The 22223-nt window shown below is 37.3% G+C and overlaps 2 pseudogenes and 1 further gene, besides 4 other annotated features; 2 read left to right on the top strand and 1 right to left on the bottom strand.

The window, feature by feature from the left end:
• Positions 1 to 22223, bottom strand: part of IGK (immunoglobulin kappa locus) — a 1378008-nt gene that overhangs the window by 1034862 nt on the left and 320923 nt on the right.
• Positions 3678 to 3726: a sequence feature (IGKV2-26 leader sequence).
• IGKV2-26 (immunoglobulin kappa variable 2-26 (pseudogene)) lies at positions 3678 to 4431 on the top strand (annotated as a pseudogene). Its single transcript is given in 2 exon segments — positions 3678 to 3726; positions 4118 to 4431. Coding segments are annotated over 2 exon segments (363 nt in total).
• Positions 4118 to 4128: a sequence feature (IGKV2-26 leader sequence).
• Positions 6239 to 6290: a sequence feature (IGKV3-25 leader sequence).
• On the top strand, positions 6239 to 8016 carry IGKV3-25 (immunoglobulin kappa variable 3-25 (pseudogene); annotated as a pseudogene). Its single transcript is given in 2 exon segments — positions 6239 to 6290; positions 7739 to 8016. Coding segments are annotated over 2 exon segments (330 nt in total).
• Positions 7739 to 7749: a sequence feature (IGKV3-25 leader sequence).

Here is a 22223-nt window from a genome sequence, read left to right as displayed (position 1 = left end):
ATGATCAAATACTTAAAATGGAAAATATGAAAAAAATGATTAAACACATTGTACCTAGCTGAGGGATTTTTCCTAACCACTGCACAAATGAAGACCACGACATTGTGTAACTGCCCAATGTGTTCACCTTGCCTGCTGCCTAGACAGAGCTGAGTTCTCAAGACAGGGGAATTGCAACAGAGAACGAGTAATTCAGGCAGGGCTGGCTATGCGAGAGACCAGAGTTTTATTATTACTCAAATCAGTCTTGCTGAGCATTTAGGGAGCAGAATTTTTAAGGACAACTTGGTGGGTGGTGGGTGAGCCAGTGAGCCAGGAGTGCTGATTGGTCAGAGATGAAATCATAGGGAGTCAAAGCTGCCTTCTTGCACTGAGTCAGTTCCTGGGTGGGAGACCATAAGATCAGATTAGCAGTTTATTGATCTGGGTGGTGCCAGCTGATCCATCAAGTGCAAGATCTGCAAAATATCTCAAGCACTGATCTTAGGAGCAGTTTAGGGGGGGTCAGAACCTTGTAGCCTCCAGCTGCATGACTCATAAACCATAATTTCTAATCTTGTGGCTAATGTTAGTCCTACAAAGCCTATCTAGTCCCCAGGCAAGAAGAACATCTGCTTTGGGAAAAGGCTGTTATTGTCTTTGTTTTAAACTCTAAACTAAATTCCTCTCAAAGTTAGTTCAGCCTATGCCCAGGAATGAACAAGGACAACTTGGAGGTTAGAAGCAAGATGGAGTCAGTTAATTTAGACCTCTTTCACTGTCTCAGTCATAATTTTGCAAAGTCAGTTTCATTTGCAATAAAGAGTTTTGGTAGACATGAGGCTGGCCACACCACATGGGAGACAGAGTTAGTACTCAAATCAATCTCCCTGAAGGCCTGTAGTTAGGGGTTTTTCAAAGGCAGTTTGGAGGAAGGGGTGGCCAGGTAATGGGTGCTTGCTGCTGATTGGTTGGGTCAGAAATGAAGTCATAAAATGTCAGAGCTGTTCTCTGGAGCTGAATCTCTCCTGAGTGGGGCCACAGGATGTGGGTTAGCAGGTCCAGGTGGAGCCATTGCTGTCAGATATGCAACAATACTTGAAAATATATCTTAAAAGGCCAATCTACAATAGTGGTGTTATCTGCAGGAGTATCTGGTGACCAGTCCACACCTTAGCAGAATCAGGCTCCTCTTTTCCCACTATTTGATGGCCTTTCATGATCTTTACAAAGGTAGCTGAGTTTTGGGTAACCCATATCATCATTTAAACTATAACCTAAATGGCTTCCAAAGTTAGCTCTGCCCAAAAGCCCAGGAATAATTAAGGAAAATGCAAGATGGGGAGGTGGGTTAGATCAGATCTCTTTTACTGCCATAATTTTCCTACTATTAAAATTTTTGCAAAGGTGGTTTCAAAATAGCGACTTTCAATATAACAGTGGAAGTTATGAAGACAAAAAAATATCAAAAGAGAATTTTAAAACTGAAAAGTAGAATAACTCAATTGAAAATTTAGATAGGTACCACAATAGTTGACAGTGTCAGAAGAATCAGTGAACTTGAAGATCAACCAATAGAAATAATCTGTTCCAAAGAATAAAGATGTAAGCAGCCAAGCAAGACCTCAGAGATGTATAGGTCAGTGTGAAGAACACCAACAAATGTGGATGGGAGTCACAAAGGAGAAGGGAGAGAGAAAGGAGCTGAAAAAGTATATGAAAAATAATGGGAACATCTTTTCAAATGTATTGAAATACATTACTATATAGATCCAAGAAATGTGATGAAACACATCCAGGGGAAGCAAAAAAGATTCATAACTACACATATTGTAATTAAAATGCTGAAATACAGTTACAAAGGGAAAATCTTCAAGAGAAAAAAAACCACTATGTACAAAGATACAATAATGTAGACACTGAATAAGGGTCCATTATTTCTAATGGAGACGAGAAGACGGTGGAATGGCATACTCAAATGCTGAAAGAAAAAAATCAACCCAAAATTCTATATACAGCAAAAGTATACTTTAACAATAAAGCAAACTAAACATATTTCTTTGTCGATAAAGAGTCAAACTCTCTAAAATATTTGAAGAGATTTATTCTGAGCCAAATGAGTGACCGTGGCCCCCAACACAACCCTCAGGAGGTCCTGAGAACATGTACCCAAGGTGGTTGGGGCGCAGCTTGGTTTTATACATTTTAGAGAGGCATGAGACGTCAATCAAACACATTTAAGAAATACATTGGTTTGATCCAGAAAGGCGGGACAACTCAAAGCAGGGGTGAGGATCGGGAGTGGGGAAGCGGGGGAGGGTCCAGGCTCTAACTAGCATTTCCTTGTTGACAATTGGTTGAGTTTGTCTAAAGACCTGGGATCAATAGAAAATAAATGTTCAGGTTAAGATAAAAGACTGTGGAAGACCAAGGTTCTTTTGAAGTCATATAGTGGCTGCCTTTAGAGACGATAGATTACAAATATTTCCTATTCAGATCTTTAAAATGTGCTACACTCTTCTTTAAGATTGGGAGAGCCTGGAAGAAAAAGATCTAGCTATGTTAATAGAGATTCTTTACAGATGCAAATTTTTCCCCACAAAGGACAGCTTTGCAAGGCCATTTCAAGATAGGGCAAAGAAACATGTTTTGGGGTAAAATATTTTAATTTTCTGCCTTGTTGCATAATGTTACACCACAGTCAGGTTGGAAAGTAAGTCCAGGGATATGTAGGGTTAAATAAAACCCATCTGATGAGAATTTATAGTTTGTAGGGCATGACTCCCCAGACTCCTTAGATAGGAACTGAGACAAGGAAAAAAAAAATCAGAGCTTAGTCCTTACCTTGATAAACACAAATGAAAAGAAATTATTACTTGTAGACATTCAATAAATTATCTGAAATCAATTTAAGAAAACATTGTTCAGAATCACATGAAATTATAGAGGACAGTAATTTGAATCCACAAGCAGAAATAAAGGCCTCGAAATAGTAAAGAACTGGGAAAAAAATAGACACAATGATAAAAAAAAGTTTACTTCAATTTCTATGATATTCACTACCAAGTACAAACAAACTATCGTGGTAGATGTCAGAAAGACAGTTACTTTGGTTGGGATGGGGAGGCAGTTATTGAATGGGAAGGTGTACGAGAGAATCATCCAGAAATTTTGAAACATTCTATAGTTTCAGCTGGATAGTGAATATACATAAAACTTTATTCATTCCACATTTAGGATTTCTGCCCTTTATATGTGGTTTATTTCAATGAAAAAAAAATAGAAAAGCCAAGCCTAGATTCTTTTAAAGAAAATTGGAGGCAAGAAAAAAGAATCAGCCAATATTTATGGAAACTCAACTTTATTAAAGACAAGTGCAAAATGTGCCTGGAAAAGTGCTAAAGAACTGTTGAAAAACAGGTGGAAAGAAAAGGAAATATTATAATATGTCTCTTCTCCAACTGAAGCAACACAGATTTTATCTTGGTTAGTTTTCCTTGAAACACGCAGGATATTTTATGTCCCCTTGCCCACAAGAGAAGCCCTCATCCTCCTGTTGTTGCGCTTAGCATCACTGCACCCACCGGGGGATTTGCATATTGTCCTCTAGGGAGGACCTTCCCTTGTGGGTCTGAGATAAAAGCTCAGCTCTAACCCTTACCTTGACTGATCAGGACTCCTCAGTTCACCTTCTCACTATGAGGCTCCCTGCTCAGCTCTTGGGGCTGCTAATGCTCTGGGTCCCTGGTAAGGACAGAAGGAGATGAGGGAGGAGAATGGGGTGGGAAGGTAAGCCTGGGGGTCCCACTGCCTTCCATGTGTGTTCTGCCCTGCCCATGTGTTAGATGTACAGGTCTTGTTCTCCAGGATGGGGAATGTGAGGTTTAAATCTGTGAGAGTGAGGACAATTCAAAAAGAAGCAAGGACCTGTGTGATCTGGTGAAGATTGTCACACAGAGAAAGGGAGGTGGTGTAGGTGATTTCTAGAATCCCCTTTGCGGCTTGCAAATTTGGAATATGTTTAGTGTATAAATACAAACAACAAAAAATTATATAGCCTGAAATAAAAAATGAAAATTTATGATAAATGACACATGATATTTGTACATATCCTTCCACTTCTTTCTATTTATTTTAGGATCCAGTGCAGAGATTGTGATGACCCAGACTCCACTCTCCTTGTCTATCACCCCTGGAGAGCAGGCCTCCATGTCCTGCAGGTCTAGTCAGAGCCTCCTGCATAGTGATGGATACACCTATTTGTATTGGTTTCTGCAGAAAGCCAGGCCAGTCTCCACAGCTCCTGATCTATGAAGTTTCCAACCGGTTCTCTGGAGTGCCAGATAGGTTCAGTGGCAGCGGGTCAGGGACAGATTTCACACTGAAAATCAGCCGGGTGGAGGCTGAGGATGTTGGAGTTTATTACTGCATGCAAGATGCACAAGATCCTCCCACAGTGCTACAGCCCTGAGCACAAACCTCTCTGCTTGAAGTGGCCCAGCTGCTCACATGTGATGTTTGTCTGGGGAGCAGCACAGCAAGTTCTCTGAGTCTGTGCATGAGGAAAATGTTGGACAACTCAGAGGAGTAGATTGGTCTCATGAATTCCTTGGTTACATCTCAGGAACTACTCATTTGTGCAGCTGCAAAAGCCTTGACATGGCAAAAGCAGTAGGAGAATGGGGAAGGTCCCATGGAGCTGATGCTGATTCATGATGCAACTGAATAAAAGCTCATTCGAATCCTCCTTTCTTACATTTCTCAATTGTAGTTAATCAGCATAAGTGCCAGGCAATTGATACAAATGTTGGCAACACATGCTGAGTGCCTCCTCATTTGTATGTATTTCATCCATTTTTGTATATTTTAATAGGATAATTATTTGGTCATATTTAGAAATTGGTATTTTCCACCTTCCAAGCTTTCTACTTTCCTTACTTATTGCTTCTCTTCCTATGTAATAAAGATACTGTAGACAACATTTTACACTAGTTGTAAAATGTGGCTCCCCATTTATACGGGTAGCTGGTTGGGGGCAATTAGCAAAAATCTTGGTTTTTGAGTGCCTAAATAGACTTTTGTAAATTAATGTCAGATACAAGATCCAAATGCTAAAACTCTTTGATTTGCCTTGATTACTTCTTACTGATAGATCATAAAAGGAATTCTTGAAATTCCAAAAGTTGGGTTTTAAAAATAAAAGCATACACTGGAATATACAGGGCATAGAATTCACCCTATATATTGCTAGAAGAATAGAGAATGATAACAGTTTTAGACTTCGAGGGTACTTCAGGAATGGGAACACACAAGGAACACAGTAGATATGAGCTACTGTGTCTACCGTATTAGACAATCCTCCTGCATTTTAACTTACATTTGGTGAACTTCAGATGCCAGTGGGTGTTGCAAGTTGATGACATAAACCTAAAATCAAGTCCCGAGGTATTTCTTGTGAAGAGTCACAGAGTTGAAGAGACCACTGCCTGGCTTCCTGAGTTGAGCCTGTGCCACTGCAAGTTTCATGGGAAAATGGCGAGAAAAGCTGTTTAGGTTTGTAATCATCAAAGGTTTAGTGAAGTTCCCGTGCAAAGAGACTCAATCCCATTCAACTCAGCATGAAGAGATCTTCTAGAACTCATTCTGCCCCTATAGCAGAGATGATGTGGTCAGGTTTGTGGAGATGAACATGCAATGACGTGTTAACCAAAAGGCCCAGCAGAAAGGGATAGTGATCAATGTCCATGGTTCAGACATATACAAAGGATGATTTGCACAGCACTGGAGGAAAAAACATCCTGAGTGTTGGAGATTTCTGCCTTCCTACCCAAGCTCCCGCAGCCTGTCTCCTGACTCAGAACTCAGCAAATGCCACATGAAAAATCTGGCTATGGTTGCACAGAAATTGCCCTGTGCAACCTTCAAAGCTCAGTTATGTTCTCTCTTCTTGCTGGGTTTCTCTGTCTGTGCCAAATCAAAATTTCTATCCGAACGCACATTTGGTAAAAAAAAAAAAAAAAAGGGCAGAAAAACAAAATGTCAGATGAACACCAACTCAACTAGAATTAGTTGTTTTTTTACTCTAGAATTTTAGATCACCTAGTCCTCATTTCTTCCATTACTTTCTAATGTCACTAATAGGTAACTTTGCATTTTATTTGTTTTTATTGGCACATTGTAATTGTACATATTTATGGAGTACACTTTGATGTCTTGATATGTACATATGTTGAAAAATGATCAAATCAGGATATTTAGGATGTGCATCAGCTCATGTATTTACCATTTCTTTATGTTACTCTGGGTCCCAGGTGAGGGGAATATGCGGGGGGGCGTGGGGGGTTCTGTGTGTCAGTGAAAACTCTCTCAACTTTGTTGGGTCCTTCAACCTGGCATTTCCGCTCAGCAAGCACAATAATTAAAGCTCAATGTAAATCAATGGTCTTGACTCTATTGGAAAGACAATGGGTATAATCTAGATTACATGTGTGATTATTTGTTTTTCTGTTTAAACTGTTTTTTCAAAAAATAAATTTTATTCTGTATATTTTAGGTTTGCAATATGATGTTGTGGCATACATATAGATAGTAAAATGCTTACTATAGTGAAGAGAATGAACATTTATCATCTCACATAGTTACTTTTTCGTCTGTGACAAGAGCAGCTGGAATCTACTTATTTAACAAAAATCTCTAATACAGTACAGTTTTATTAACTATAGCCCTCATTTTCTACAGTAGATCTCTATACTTGCTATTCGTAAATATTTACTACCTTGCATCTTTGGACCTACATCTTCCCATTTCTTCCCATTCCACCCCCGGCCCTTAATAACGACTGTTTCATTCTCTATTTCTGCATAATTTATCTTTTTAGTTATTTAATTTATTTTTAGGTTTACATGTAAGTAAAATCAGGCAATATTTTTATTTCTGTATCTTGCTTTTTTCACTTGGAATACTGTCCTCTAGGTCCATCCACATTACGGCAAATAGAAGAATCTTCTTTTTCTGCTGGGTGTGGTGGCTCATGCCTGTAATCCCAGCACTAGGCGGGTGCATCACCTGACATCAGGAGTTGAATACCAGCCTGGCCAACATGGCAAAACCCTGTCTCTACTAAAAATACAAAAAATACAAAAGAAAATTAGCTGGGCGTGTTGGCATGGGCCTGTAATCCCAACTACTCAGGAAGCTGAGGCAGGAGAATCGCTTGAACCCGGGAGGAGGAGGTTGCAGTGAGCTGAGATAGCATCATTGCACTCCAGCCTGGGCAACAAGAGTGAGACTTCTCTAAAATAAAAATAATAATAATAATAAAAAAGAATCTTCTTGTTTAAGGCTGAATTATATTCCATGGTGTGTGTGTGTGTGTGTGTGTGTGTGTGTGTGTGTGTACATTTATGTATACCACATTTTCTTTATTCATTTATTTGTCCACGGATGCTCAGGTTTTTCTCATTTCTTGTGAATAATGCTGCAATAAACACGGGAGTGTAGGTATCTTTAAAAGAAGGTGGTGATTTCATCTCTTCTGGGTATGTATCCAAAATAGGGTCACTGTTGGGTTATAAGGTGGTTAGGTTTTGAATTTCTTTAGGAACCTCCATACTGTTTTCCATAATGGGTGCACCAATCATCATTCCCACCAACAATGTACAAGTGTTTTATTTTCTTCACACCCTCATCAATATTTATCTCTTGTCTTTTTTATAATAGCCATCCTAAAGACTGTAAGGCGTTTTATTTCTAATCTCAGATTTCACTGTAGAAACAGTGATGACACAGTCTCCAGCTTCCCTGTCTTTGTCTCTGGAGAAAAAAGCCACCCTGACTTGCAGGGCCAGTCAGTGTTAGCAGCTACTAAGCCTGGTACCAGAAGAAACCTGAGCGGGTTCCCAGGCTCCTCATCTATGGTACAGCCCTGATTTGTGATAGTGGGTCGGGGACAGGGCTTACTCTCACCATCGGCAGCCTGGAGCCTGGAGCCTGGAGATTTGCACTTCATCACTGTTATCAGCATAGTAGTTGGTGTCCCATACTGATTCGACATGCAACAAAAACCTCCAGGAGACCTAAGGTGTTTATTTGATTATACTACCTGCTTCCTTTTTAGTCATCTGATGTGGTGCTGCTCAGTTTTAGCATCTCTGCTTTGATTGGAAATTCTGAGGTTCTCAAAAGTAATTCCTTATAATATTTATAGTTTCACTCATGGATTTTTTTCTCAGACCCAAATGTACAGCCAGGTTCAGGCACAATTTCATGGTCAAGGCCATTGGATCAGACTCACATGAGTGGACGCCTCTAAAGGTCCTGGCCAGTGCGATAAAGTAGCAGCGACAATGATAAAGAAGAAGAATTAGAAAGGCAGAATTAAAGGTATAACAATTCACTGATGAAAGGACTGTGTGGGGGAGAAATTTCTAATTGTCTACACAGAAATTATTAGAATTAATGAGATACATAGCAAATTGTTAGATTAAAGATCAATATAAAATATATTTATTTTTATATAAATGTAACAACTGCTAAAATTAAAATTATGAAACACATCATTTATAGTAGCACCAAACCAAGAGGCATTAGAAAAAACTAACAAAATATACTGACAGCTCCAGAATATAATTCAAAGAAATCAAAGAAAATCTAAGCAAATGGAAGGCCACAGTACTTTCAAAGGTTGAAAGTCCCAGTATTGTAAAGATGTTCATTCTTCACAGATTGATATATTAAAGATAATCGAAATCAAAATTTCAAACCGTTTTTAAATGGAAATGTAAAAGCTGATTCTACATATCATATTACATTGTTAAGGAGTTTGAATAACCACAATAAACCCGAAGAAGCCCAAGAATGAGGACTTACACTACTTGGATACTCGAACCATGCTGCTGATGTGAGTTCAAACAAATTGCCTAATGCAACAGAAGAGAGTATTCTGAGAATGACTAACACATATAGTGACACTTTTTAGGGACAAAGGTGACACTGCACAACAGAGTGAACACAATAAAAAGCTGTCCAACATCAATAATCATCCCAGTCCTACAAATGAAAATCACAACTGTCTGCCACTAAAACTTCAATAGGATGACTCAAAGGGACAATGCCAAATACAGTGACGGAAAGGGGGAACTAGAAGGGCCACACATTGTGTTTGGGAATATAAAGTGGTACCACAAGTTGGAGAACTGACACTGAATATATAATCCCTTTTTAATCCAGCCCTTCCACTCAGAAATGTGTACAGATGTGCACAGAAAGAAATGTGCAATAACACTCGGCCGGGCGCAGTGGCTCAAGCCTGTAATCCCAGCACTTTGGGAGGCTGAAGCAGGCAGATCACAAGGTCAGGAGTTCGAGCCCAGCCTGGCCAATATGGTGAAACCCTGTCTCTACTAAAAATACAAAAATTAGCTGGGCGTGGTGGCGGACGCCTATATTCCCAGCTACTAGGGAGGCTGAGGCAGAAGAATCGCTTGAACCCGGGAGGTGAAGGTTGCAGTGAGCCGAGATCATGCCACTGCACTCCAGCCTGGGTGACAGGGTGAGACTACATCTCAAAAATAAATAAATAAATAAATAAATAAATAAATAAATAAATAAATAACACTCATAGCATTATTAGTGATAGCCCCAAACTGGGAACATTCTAAATACAAATCTAGAGTAATTTGAATAAATAAAATGAGGTAGGTGCATACAATTAAATACTATGGATGAATGAAAATATAAAAGCTGCTACTACATCCATGAATGTGGGTGTATCTTACTAGCATAATAATGCGCAAAAGACGTTAGAAATAAAAAGCTCACTATCCATGATTCCTTTTTATATAGTTCAAAAACCGCCATCACTAAATCAATGTTACTGAAAGTGAGATTTAAATTTGCATTGGAGAAGAGTGGGGCTAATGTTTGGGAGGAGACAGAAGGTGCTTCTAGGAGACCGGGAGTGTTCTGCTTTGGTACGGTTGTTATACAGTGTGTTCAATCTCTGAAAAATTTATTAAAACCTGCATTATAATTTGTGAGTGCATATACACATGTTGAGATTTGTGAATATACATGTATGGGTAAGTTTTATCTTATCAAAAGTTTATTTTAAAAAAGTTATGAAGCATAATGTTATTTGCACCAATCAATGCATCCTAACTTCTTTCCTTGTCTAATCAAATTGTATTTAATTATAATCTGTATTCATTTTCACATTCCATCTATGGAACCAGGGCACCAAATGTAAGGAAGCCCAGGGTTTACAAGGTTACCACACTGTTAGTGTCATCAGGAACACATGAGTCACTATAACCTCTTTTATTTTTTTGTCCTGGAAAGCATCAAAATTCTAAGCTACTCAAAATGTATTGCATTTTAATGATGGTTCCTATTTACCCTAAATGTACGAATCCAATTAAGTCAGTATTTGTAGAATCAGAACAATTTGCTTCAATGTGTTTTTCACTTTTATTTATTCACTGAAGACACTGGTAATTTTACACTATAAAAAGTGAAATAAAAACATACACAAAATTATACTTGCTCTATCCTTCAGTAAAGATGAGATGACTAAAACCCAGATAGATTTGTTGATAGGAATTATTCAAGATGATCCAGCTAGTTGAAGAGCATCACTTAGAATTCTGGTGACCCCTTTTTAGGACAAAGTTGTTGCTAAATAATTCTAAAGATGTGCCAGTAACTTGCTAAGAACATTGAAGTACAAGTTTTTGTGTAGATATATGTTTTCCTTTTTCTTGGGTCCACACTTAAGAGCTTCCTGGATCATATGGTAACTCTATGTTTAACCACTTGAATTGCAGACTGTTTTCCAAACCTGCTGCACCATTTTTCATTTCCACCAGCAGTGCAAAGATTCTATTTTATTGCCAACCTATGCAATGAGAAGAAAAAACCTCTGAGTGAGGAGGCGTTTAGAAGAACTAGAATATATCCAGATGTAAGAAAATAAATCCAAGGTAGCTTAGAGATGCCCATTAAATAGTTTTTAAATTTTTCCTAGTCTTCCCAAACCTGGTTACATGTTTTTACTACTTGGTGGATGGTACTCACTCGCAATGGTGTTTAGAGTTGGGAATGGACTCAGGAAGTGGAAAAGTTCCTTCAGACAAGGAAGAACTGGTTCAAGACACAAACTAAGGAGAGCTAATCAGAATGAAAGACGGGGAGCTGAGGAAAGTGAAATGAAAATTTCCTGTAGGAAGGAGGTAACATTTAAGCAGAATGCCTTGTTCTTTAGGTAGTGTGTCTGTCCTTAGGATCTTGTGCTCTGGACTAGTGCCTGACATAAAAGGACTGAGCACTGACATCTCTCTCTCTCACTAATTAACTTTTTGTGTCAGTTGTTGTAATTCCTTATATAGAGTAGAATGATCTCGAAAGGTTAGATGTTTTATTTAAAAAAAATTAATAAATGACCACCGTGAGTGAATCCTAAACAAGATAGAATGGGAATAAACTGAAAGAACAAAATATAAGCATATATGTCATATTTACTTTTTGTTATGCCTATATAAATCTATAATTTTAAATTTTGAAGTCAAGGAAAATACTGGTTATTAAATTTTATCATCTATTAAACCAGTATGATGGTAAAACTTGTTATTGCCCTTCAATTATGATTCCTAATTTTGCATGAGTAATATTGTCATTGTTATAGTCAGATTATTACAGTTAAATTGCATTGCATTATATGCCTTATATTTGAGGAATTTTTCCTATGGAATGACTTTGCATTTATCAACACATTTTTAACTTAGTTAGATTAACTTATAGGTTTTGTTGATTTTTATCCTCACCAACATTCTTTTACAATCACAAACCACAGCTTCCTCTTCTTGAGCAACCGACTTTACTTCATCTCTTTATCAGCTGTAATACATTTTTCAAGGGTTTCTAGTTTCATAAATCCTTATGCATATCATAATTTACTTGTTTCAAATTAAAAATTTTCTTCATATTTTATTTCCCTAGTTCAATAGAAAATGCATGCAGTATAATTTCTTTTATAAAAACTTTGCACATTTTCAAATATAATTACATTGATTACTGGGAGTTCATTTTGCAGGCCAGGACTCTGAAGAAAGCCTGACATTTATCTTTGAAAAAAATAACCCTTACATTCTTTGAATTTGTATTTTATTATGAAATATTTGTGTTTTCTCATTTTATAAATGTTTGAATACAATTGTGTGACTCCACTGAATTTACACTCATTAGTAGTTAACAGACATGGAAATTTTATTTCAGATTACATTTCTTCTTACTGATTCTTTTCTAAGGACTCATTTCTTCCTTAGGAAAATGTTTAATTCTCAGGTTTAACTTTCTACTCTGTTTTTCTGTCTAAGCTCTCTCTTTATTATCTAATGTCATGATTCTCTCCTTTGAAAAACAAAAGTGCTACTCTAGTTTGCCTTCCATATCACTGTTTTGATCAATTGCAGTGCCAATTCTGCTATATTGTCTTGAATATTGGGTTTTGTTTTTAATGATGCAGTTTGTTTTATTTTTCTTATATTGCAACAGAGTTTAAGGAACTATGCTTACATTTTCGATAATTACATATTTTGTGCTATTTTTCATCCTAGGTTATATGTTTTTCTTTATTTTATTGATTATGCAAAACATAATGTAGAAATGTTCTGGAGTCCGCAAGAGTTTTTTTTTTTACTTAACTTTTCTCGTTAATTTATTTTTTTTACAACATCTTCTTGTCCTCCTTTCAATTCCTCCTTCTTCCCTTTCATTTTTCTTTTTCTATTATCTTTTTTAATGGGCCTCAACTTTATTAACTGATTGCAAGGAATAATAATCAATGATGGTTAATAACACAATTATAATGTTGGTCCATAATGCACTTTTATTATTAATCCATTATGGTTCTTATTTATTTATTCATATTTTTAGCACTCACTAATGCATTCATTAATATTAGTAATATAATAAATTCATGTTACTATCCTGCAAAACAACCACTTAAGATATCAACTGGTATCCATTTTGAGGTTCTCCACAATCTCTTAAACATATTATTTCCCACCACCAAGTTAATCAAAATTTTCAATTCAATATTCTTTATCAATGTAGTTTATTTCTTCTATATGTATTCCTTTAAAAAGTTGTTTATTTCTTTTAGACATTATAAAAAGGATGTCATACTAGTGAAGTCTAAGTTATTAATTTCTTTATGCTAGATATTTTGTTTATTTTCTCTAAGAATTATTTTTTTATCTCTAGGGTCATGAAATATATTTCTATACCCTTTTGTAGAGGATTTACTCTTGGGCCTTTCATATTTATATTTAAAATTTATTGATGATTAACATTTGTATATGGTATAGAATTAAGATTCATTTTCATATAATACAGATACTGAATTGATCCAGTATGATTAATTTATTTTACTTCTACTACTTTGAAGTAGCACTTTTATTGTAAATCAAATGACTACGGATGGGTGGATCAGTTTCTGGATTCTCAAACTGATTGAACTGGCTAATTTGTTTGACACTTCACTGATACCATATATTTTAATTACTGTAACTTACAGGCTTTGGTATTGTGTACTATTAGTCCTCCAACATTTTTTATCTTAGCAAGACTGTCTTGATTACTTTTTGCATTTTGAATGTTCATATATATTTAAGTAATGTCTTTTCAATTGCAACAACAATTCCCTGAGATTTTTTATTGTGAACGTTTTCAACAAATTTAGGGAGAATATACACTATTAAGTCTCCCAATTCATGAGCATGGTGCAACCTTCCATTTATTGGAGTTTTCTTTATTTTTATCCAACTGCATTTTGTACATTTCTGTTTGGTTTTGTTGAACATTTTTTTTATGTTTTATTTTTATTATTTTTATTTTTTTATTTTTTATTATACTTTAAGTTTTAGGGTACATGTGCACATTGTGCAGGTTAGTTACATATGTATACATGTGCCATGCTGGTGCGCAGCACCCACTAACTCGTCATCTAGCATTAGGTATATCTCCCAATGCTATCCCTCCCCCCTCCCCCCACCCCACCACAGTCCCCAGAGTGTGATATTCCCCTTCCTGTGTCCATCTGATCTCATTGTTCAATTCCCACCTATGAGTGAGAATATGTGGTGTTTGGTTTTTTGTTCTTGCAATAGTTTACTGAGAATGATGATTTCAAATTTCATCCATGTCCCTACAAAGGACATGAACTCATCATTTTTTATGGCTGCATAGTATTCCATGGTGTATATGTGCCATATTTTCCTAATCCATTCTATCATTGTTGGACATTTGGGTTGGTTCCAAGTCTTTGCTATTGTGAATAATGCTGCAATAAACATACGTGTGCATGTGTCTTTATAGCAGCATGATTTATAGTCATTTGGGTATATACCCAGTAATGGGATGGCTGGGTCAAATGCTATTTCTAATTCTAGATCCCTGAGGAATCGCCCCACTGACTTCCTCAATGGTTGAACTAGTTTACAGTTCCACGAACAGTGTAAAAGTGTTCCTATTTCTCCACATCCTCTCCAGCACCTGTTGTTTCCTGACTTTTTAATGATTGCCATTCTAACTGGTGTGAGATGGTATCTCATAGTGGTTTTGATTTGTTGAACATATTTTATGTGACTTTTTATTTGGGCATATTGTTAAACTTAAAGAAAAATTGCCAAAGTAATATAAGAACTCCAATGTATACGTTACCCAAATTCATTTAGTAACCATAGATGACTTTCTACTTCCAAATTCTTTCTATATTTATGAGTTGGCAGCTAGTTACTACTGATTCAGAACAAATCACCCAAAACTTAATGACACATTACAATTGACATCATTATACTATTATCTTTGTAGTTGTTAGGTGTCTCCTGGGCTGACCAAGATTTCTGCTCGGGATTTCTTACATGGATGTAGTCAGATAGCAGCTGGGGATGGAGTCATATAAAAGGTGGCCAATTCAGGCTATAGGATGAGTCCTCAGCTGAGGCTGTGAATCTCTACATGCTCCTGCTTGGCTTCTTGTACACTTCCTCGAAGAGTACCAGACAGATGTTTTATAACCTCTTATGACTTACTATAGCCTCAGAAGACACATAGTGTTACTTCTATGACAATTATAGGTTCACTAAGATTCCAAAGGGGGAAAAGTATGCTAATATGTCCAATAGGGAAATTATCAACATCACACTATTAGAGGAACTAATAAGATGGAAGATCTTGTGACCATCTTGGAGTATCCAGCTGGCAACTCTCTACGCTTGTTTAAATCAATCTACATTTTTACTGTATGCAACATATACTAATTTTCATCTGCAACATCTACAAGCATTTCCCATGATGGTGGTAAGTTAAAGTTCAAGATCTCCTCATCTAGATCAGACTCTGTGCAGTTGAGCCTCTTTGCCCATAGTTCCTAAATATCACCTGTCCCCCTATCCCACTCAAGACTTGTGAACAATGATGAGACAGGACTAGGATGCACATACTTGACAGACAATGCTGTAGATACTCCCTTTCAGGAAGAAGGCACTCAGCAGTCAAAATTCCACAGAGCATAAAGCCACAGCTTCCTTTCAGGGCTTCCTGCTTCAAACGTCTGTGTTTTTTAAATGTTTTTTTCCCTCAAACTGTACTTTTCTTTTTTTTTTTTTTTTTTGCCTTGGAAACAATGTAATTATTATTTAAAACTCAGTGAAATCATGAGGATACAGTCAGGCAAACCCTAAATGTGGGAAATCCTATAGGATAAATTATTTCTTTCTTTTTTGTTTTTTAAGTGTATAATTCTTTTTTTTATTATACTTTAAGTTTTGGGGTACATGTACACAACGTGCAGGTTTGTTACATATGTATACATGTGCCATGTTGGTGTGCTGCACTCATTAACTTGCCGTTTAGCATTAGGTATATCTCCTAATGCTATCCCTCCCCCCTGCCCCCACCCCACAACAGGCCCCGGTGTGTGATGTTCCCCTTCTTGTGTCCATGTGTTCTCATTGTTCAATTCCCACATATGAGTGAGAACATGCAGTGTTTGGTTTTTTGTCCTTGTGATAGTTTGCTGAGAATGATAGTTTCCAGCTTCATCCATGTCCCTACAAAGGACATGAACTCATCCTTTTTTATGGATGCATAGTATTCCATGGTGTATATGTGCCACATTTTCTTAATCCAGTCTATCATTGTTGGACATTTGGATTGGTTCCAAGTCTTTGCTATTGTGAATAGTGCCACAATAAATATACGTGTGCATGTGTCTTTATAGCAGCATGATTTATAGTCATTTGGGTATATACCCAGTAATGGGATGGCTGGGTCAAATGGTATTTCTAGTTCTAGATCCCTGAGGAATCACCACACTGACTTCCACAATTGTTGAATTAGTTTACAGTCCCACCAACAGTGTAAAAGTGTTCCTATTTCTCCACATCCTCTCCAGCACCTGTTGTCTCCTGATTTTTTAATGATTGTCATTCTAACTGGTGTGAGATGCTACCTCATTGTGGTTTTGATTTGCATTTCTCTGATGGCCAGTGATGATGAGCATTTTTTCATGTGTCTGTTGGCTGCATAAATGTCTTCTTTTGAGGAGTGTCTGTGCATATCCTTTGCCCACTTTTTGATGGGGTTGTTTGTTTTTTTCTTTTAAATTTGTTTGAGTTCATTGTAGATTCTGGATATTAGCCCTTTGTCAGATGAGTAGGTTGCAAAAATTTTCTCCCATTCTGTATGTTGCCTGTTCACTCTGATGGTAGTTTCTTTTGCTGTGCAGAAGCTCCTTAGTTTAATTAGATCCCATTTGTCAATTTTGGCTTTTGTTGTCATTGCTTTTGTTGTTTTAGACATGAAGTCCTTGCCCATGCCTATGTCCTGAATGGTATTGCCTAGGTTTTCTTCTAGGGTTTTCATGGTTTTAGGTCTAACATTTAAGTCTTTAATCCATCTTGAATTAATTTTTGTATAAGGTGTAAGAAAGGGATCCAGTTTCAGCTTTCTACATATGGCTAGCCAGTTTTCCCAGCACCATTTATTAAATAGGGAATCCTTTCCCCATTTGTTTTTGTCAGGTTTGTCAAAGATCTGATGGTTGTAGATATCTGGCATTATTTCTGAGGCCTCTGTTCTGTTCCATTGGTTTATATCTCTGTTTTGGTACCAGTACCATGCTGTTTTGGTTACTGTAGCCTTGTAGTATAGTTTGAAGTCAGGTAGTGTGATGCCTCCAGCTTTGTTCTTTTGGCTTAGGATTGACTTGGCAATGCGGGCTCTTTTTTGGTTCCACATGAACTTTAAAGTAGTTTTTTCTAATTCTGTGAAGAAAGTCATTGGTAGCTTGATGGGGATGACATTGAATCTATAAATTACCTTGGGCAGTATGGCCATTTTCACGATATTGATTCTTCCTACCCATGAGCATGGAATGTTCTTCCATTTGTTTCTATCCTCTTTTATTTCATTGAGCAGTGGTTTGTAGTTCTCCTTGAAGAGGTCCTTCACGTCCCTTGTAAGCTGGATTCCTAGGTATTTTATTCTCTTTGTAGCAATTGTGAATGGGAGTTCACTCAAACTGTACTTTTCATCCCTTCAAGCAACTTCATCCAATCAAACAACAAATAATGAGTTTTTAGCAGTGTCTTCTATGTTGATCAAAACTCTCATTATCCTTTGAGGCAGTTTAATGTAAACTTTCTTCATTAATTCTTTGCCGTTTTCACTTTATTGTGAATTTTTTTCTTGAATTTACACTGTAAGGCATGGATTTTTTATTTTCAGTTATAGTCAGTATGGCTTTTGTATAAAATTCTCCACATTCTTCTTTTACTTTGTTTCCCTCAACTCTAAATCCCCAAATTCTGTTAGTATGGTAACTGACCTTATAATCTTGATCCATTTTGTATGGAACATTCCCAGGTTAGGTTCATACCAAGAAAATGACTCTGTATTCAAGCCACTTGAATTAATAGCTGTATCAGTGATTATTATTTATGATGACCATGGTCTTATAAGGTTCATATAACATGCTTGTGGTCACTCGCATTAGTCATCACCAGAACAAGACCAGCTGCAGCTGAGGACTGAGGAAATGTTGTGGTGATCTGGAGTATTATTAAGTGAGGGGTTCCACATAGTCCCTCTACAGACTGAAGACACTGGGGAAGGATCATCCGTGTGTGTGTGACAGCTGTGAAATAATCTGTTCTGGAACAAGAAGCTCCAAAATATCTCAGCCTGGGATGACTTTGCGTGCTTTCCATAGAGCATTTGGCTACATATCAAAGCCGTTATCAGTGGGCTGTTCCCTGGCTCAGGGCAGGTGTCTGCCTCAGCCATGTACATAATGGACATAAGGAGCTCAACTCTTCTGTCTCCTGCTGCCTGATCCCAGATAAGGAAAAGGATTATGAGGAGGTGCCACATGATGGTGAAATTTGCTTTCTTCTCATTGTAAGTTGAATCTTTAGTACCTTTTTTGGTCTGTGACATTTGATTTCTCATGGAGCACTCACAGTGTTGAGTAACATGATAAGCTCATAGAGTGGGATGTGTTTAACCTCACTGACATTTGTGCTTATGTGATTTTTTCAAAAAAATTCAAATGTCAATGAGAATATTGTGCCACCTCAGTTTTATTTATTTTTATTTTTTTAACTTTTGTTTTAGGTTCAGGGATATATGTGAAGTTTTGTTACATAACTGAACTTGTGCCATGGGGGTTCCTTGTACAGATTACTTTGTCACCCAGGTATTATTCCCAGTGCCCAATAGTTATCTTTTCTGCTCCTTTCCTTTCTTCCACCCTCCACCCTCAGGTAGACCCCAGTGTGTATTGTTCCCTTACTTGTGTTCATGAGTTCTCAATTTTCAAGTTCTGGACTAAGGTTGAGGGAAGCAAGCCACTATCCAGAACCCTAGTGTCCCTGCATGGTTGAGTGACCACGAGTCTGAGGTAGATTTTGTTCCCACAATCAGCAGCCTGAAGCCTGAAGATGCAGGGTACTGTTACTGTCAACAACATCAAATCTTGCCTCTCTCGTGTGACAAAACTGAGCAAAGGCAGTGCAATGATCCAGCAGTGTTATCTTGTTCAAGTTACTCATACATAATTGATGAAATCATGTAGAAAGCTCAGTGAAAGAGATTTTGAAATATTAGTTTCTGTGATAACAGAACACACAGATTGTAATCACATATCATTGGTTGGAATTTTGTCTCTTACACTTAATATATGTGTAAATTTGGCAAATGACTTAAACACTTTTACCTTGTTTTTTTATCTCTAATAAAGGAAAATAAAGAAGTAACTATACCATAAAACTATTATAATAATTAAGTAATTGAATACTTATAAAATGTTTATAACTTTCAAATGTATTAAACACTAAATAATTACTAATAATCATTATAATTTTGCTACATCTCTTAATTATGTAGATCCAGTGTTTCCCCAAATACTGTTTTCTTTGATGTTATTTACAAAATTATGATTTTTTTCCCCTAAAACTCCCACTATGTTAAATAGCAGATAAATTTATTTCATGCCAAGCTGCTAAAAACAGATATAAAAAGCTGGACAAAATATAAAAAGCTGATACTCTAAGGTACCATGTACCTTCGAATAAGTGCTATGTAATAAGCATCTGACTCCATTTTTGATGTTTGATCAGTGACAGCTTTCAATCACCACCTCCCACTTTCCCTTCCACCACATATTTGTGCAACTGCCTGCAGGACAGTCAAACCTCATAGATCCTCAGCAATGCAAGATAGCATATCTCCAGTCCAACTATAAAAACTCAGCCCTCTGTGTAACTCGAGCCAGCTTATACCAGCTTGTGCATATCCTGCTTTCCCCAAGATTCCCTTGTGTGAGTTAGAAAATTTCTCCCAAATTCTCTTGTACATGGAGTGTCAACAGCTTCACCATAATATCTACTAATTAGAAAAGATCCATCTCACCTCCGTAGGTGACCACAAAATATGCCAAGAGAGCAAGTATTTGATGAATCAAGAAAATAAGGTAAGCTTTTATGAACTGAATATTTGTGTCCCCTCAAAATTCACCAGTTGAAGCCCTAACTCCATGTGCGCGTATATTTGGAGGTATCGCTAAGAAACTAACAGTCAAATGAGGCCATAAGGTTGAGATTCTGATCTGATTCAATTAGTGTCCTCATTAAAAAAAAAAAAAAAAAGGAGAGATTGGGCTCAGTGGCTCATGTCTGCAATCTCAGTACTTTGGGAGGCAGAGGCGGGTGGATCATGAGGTCAAGAGATTGAGACCATCCTGGCCAACATGGTGAAACCCCGTCTCTACTAAAAATAGAAAAATTAGCTGGATATGGTGGCACATGCCTGTAGTTCCAGCTACTCAGGAGGCTGAGGCAGGAGAATCACTTGAACCCAGGAGGCAGAGGTTGCAGTGAGCCAAGATTGCACCACTGCACTCCAGCCTGGTGACAGAGCGAAACTCCATCTCAAAAAAAGAAAAAAAAAAAAAAGAGACCAAATCTATTAGGCCATTCTTGCAATGCTACAAAGAAATACTGAGACTGGGTGATTTATAAAGAAAAGAGTTTTACTCAGCTCACATTTCTGCAGGCTTTGGAGGAAGCATGATGCTGGCATCTGCTCAGCTTCTGGGAAGGCCTCAGGAAGCTTACAGTTATGATGGAAGGCTAAGGGGTAGTAGGCCCATCACAAGGCCAGAGAAAGAGCAGAAGAGAGAGAAGGAGTTGCCATATGCTTTTAAATAAGCAGATCTCATGAGAACTCGCTATCATGAGAACAGCACCAAGAAGATGGTGCTAAACTGTTCATGAGAAATCTATCTCCATGATCCAGTCACCTCCCATCAGGCCTGACTTGCAATACTGGGGATTACAATTCCACATGATATTTGAGCAGTAACAAATATGCAGACAACATCCTTTTACCCCTGGACTCTCTCAAATCTCATGTCCTTTTCACATTTGAAAATACAATAATTCCTTTTCAATATCTGCCCAAAGTCTTACCTTATTCTAATTTTAACACAAAAGTCCCAAGTCCAAGTCCAAAGCCACATCTGATACTCATATCCTTCCACTGATAAGTCTCTGAAATCAAAACAAGTTATCTACTTTCACAACAATCAAAAGACAAAATCCCATTGATTAGTCACAGCAGGAATTAAAAACTTAGAAAAATATCTATTTTGAGAAATAAGTACCATGTTGATATAGCCACATATTCTTCAACTTAGTCCCTAGGATTTCAGATTCTTGGAAATCATGTCTCAACTGTGTGCATCCTAGTATGGCACCAATAGCATCTCAACCTCCCACTTTAGAAGTAGCTCAATCAATTCTAAACTTTTCCATTTAGTTTCTGAAATATTCTAAGTGATGTGTAGGACTATATATTTGTCCAAATTACTCAGGAACATCCATCCACTGGTGGGTACCACTATGTTTTAATAGACACCAGTCCTCTCTTCCTTCCTTCACATCATCAACATTCCAGTGTTGAATGGCCATGATGGAAATATTTGACATTTAAGAGTGAGCATAATTTATTTAATCAGTATTCTCTATTGGAGAGCAGGCTTTAAGTAGAACTGAATTCTGAAAAAAATAAATAAGTAGAAAGAGAATCAGATAGTGTCTGAGTTCTTTCATGCAACTATAACAAACTCACAGACTGGGAAATTTATAAACAATAAATATTTATTTCTCACAGTTCTGGAGTTCAGAACTCTAGGATCAAGATGCTAACAGATTCAGTGTCGGTGAAGCTGTCTGGTGGAGCCAGAAAAGGCAAAGGAGACAAATTGAATCTTGCGTCTGCACATGGCAACAGAGATGGAAGGGCCAGGCAGCTCTCTGAAATCTTCTATATAAGGCCATTAATCCCATTTATTGAGGGCAGAGCCCATGACTTAATCACTTCCCAAGGGGCTCTACCTTTTAATATCAACTTAGGCTTTAAATTCCAACATTAAGTTTGGAACATCACAAACATCTAAACCATAGCAGATGGGACTAGACAACTCCTAACAAAGTCAGCACATAACCATATAGGAAGAGTGACAAAAGCAGCTGCCTTGGTTACCTTTGACCAAGACTTTCTTACAAAAAGGGTTCCTTAGCAATATTCATTTATCAACACCAGTGATGACATGTTGATACTGTGTAACTCTTGATAGGATGTACTGAAGACACATCCCTGCTGTAATATTCTTGCCAAAAATG

The sequence above is a fragment of the Homo sapiens genome, chromosome 2, assembly GCF_000001405.40.
Source record: "Homo sapiens chromosome 2, GRCh38.p14 Primary Assembly".
Taxonomy (NCBI): Eukaryota; Metazoa; Chordata; class Mammalia; order Primates; family Hominidae; genus Homo; species Homo sapiens.
This window is presented reverse-complemented; position numbering and strand designations above follow the sequence as displayed.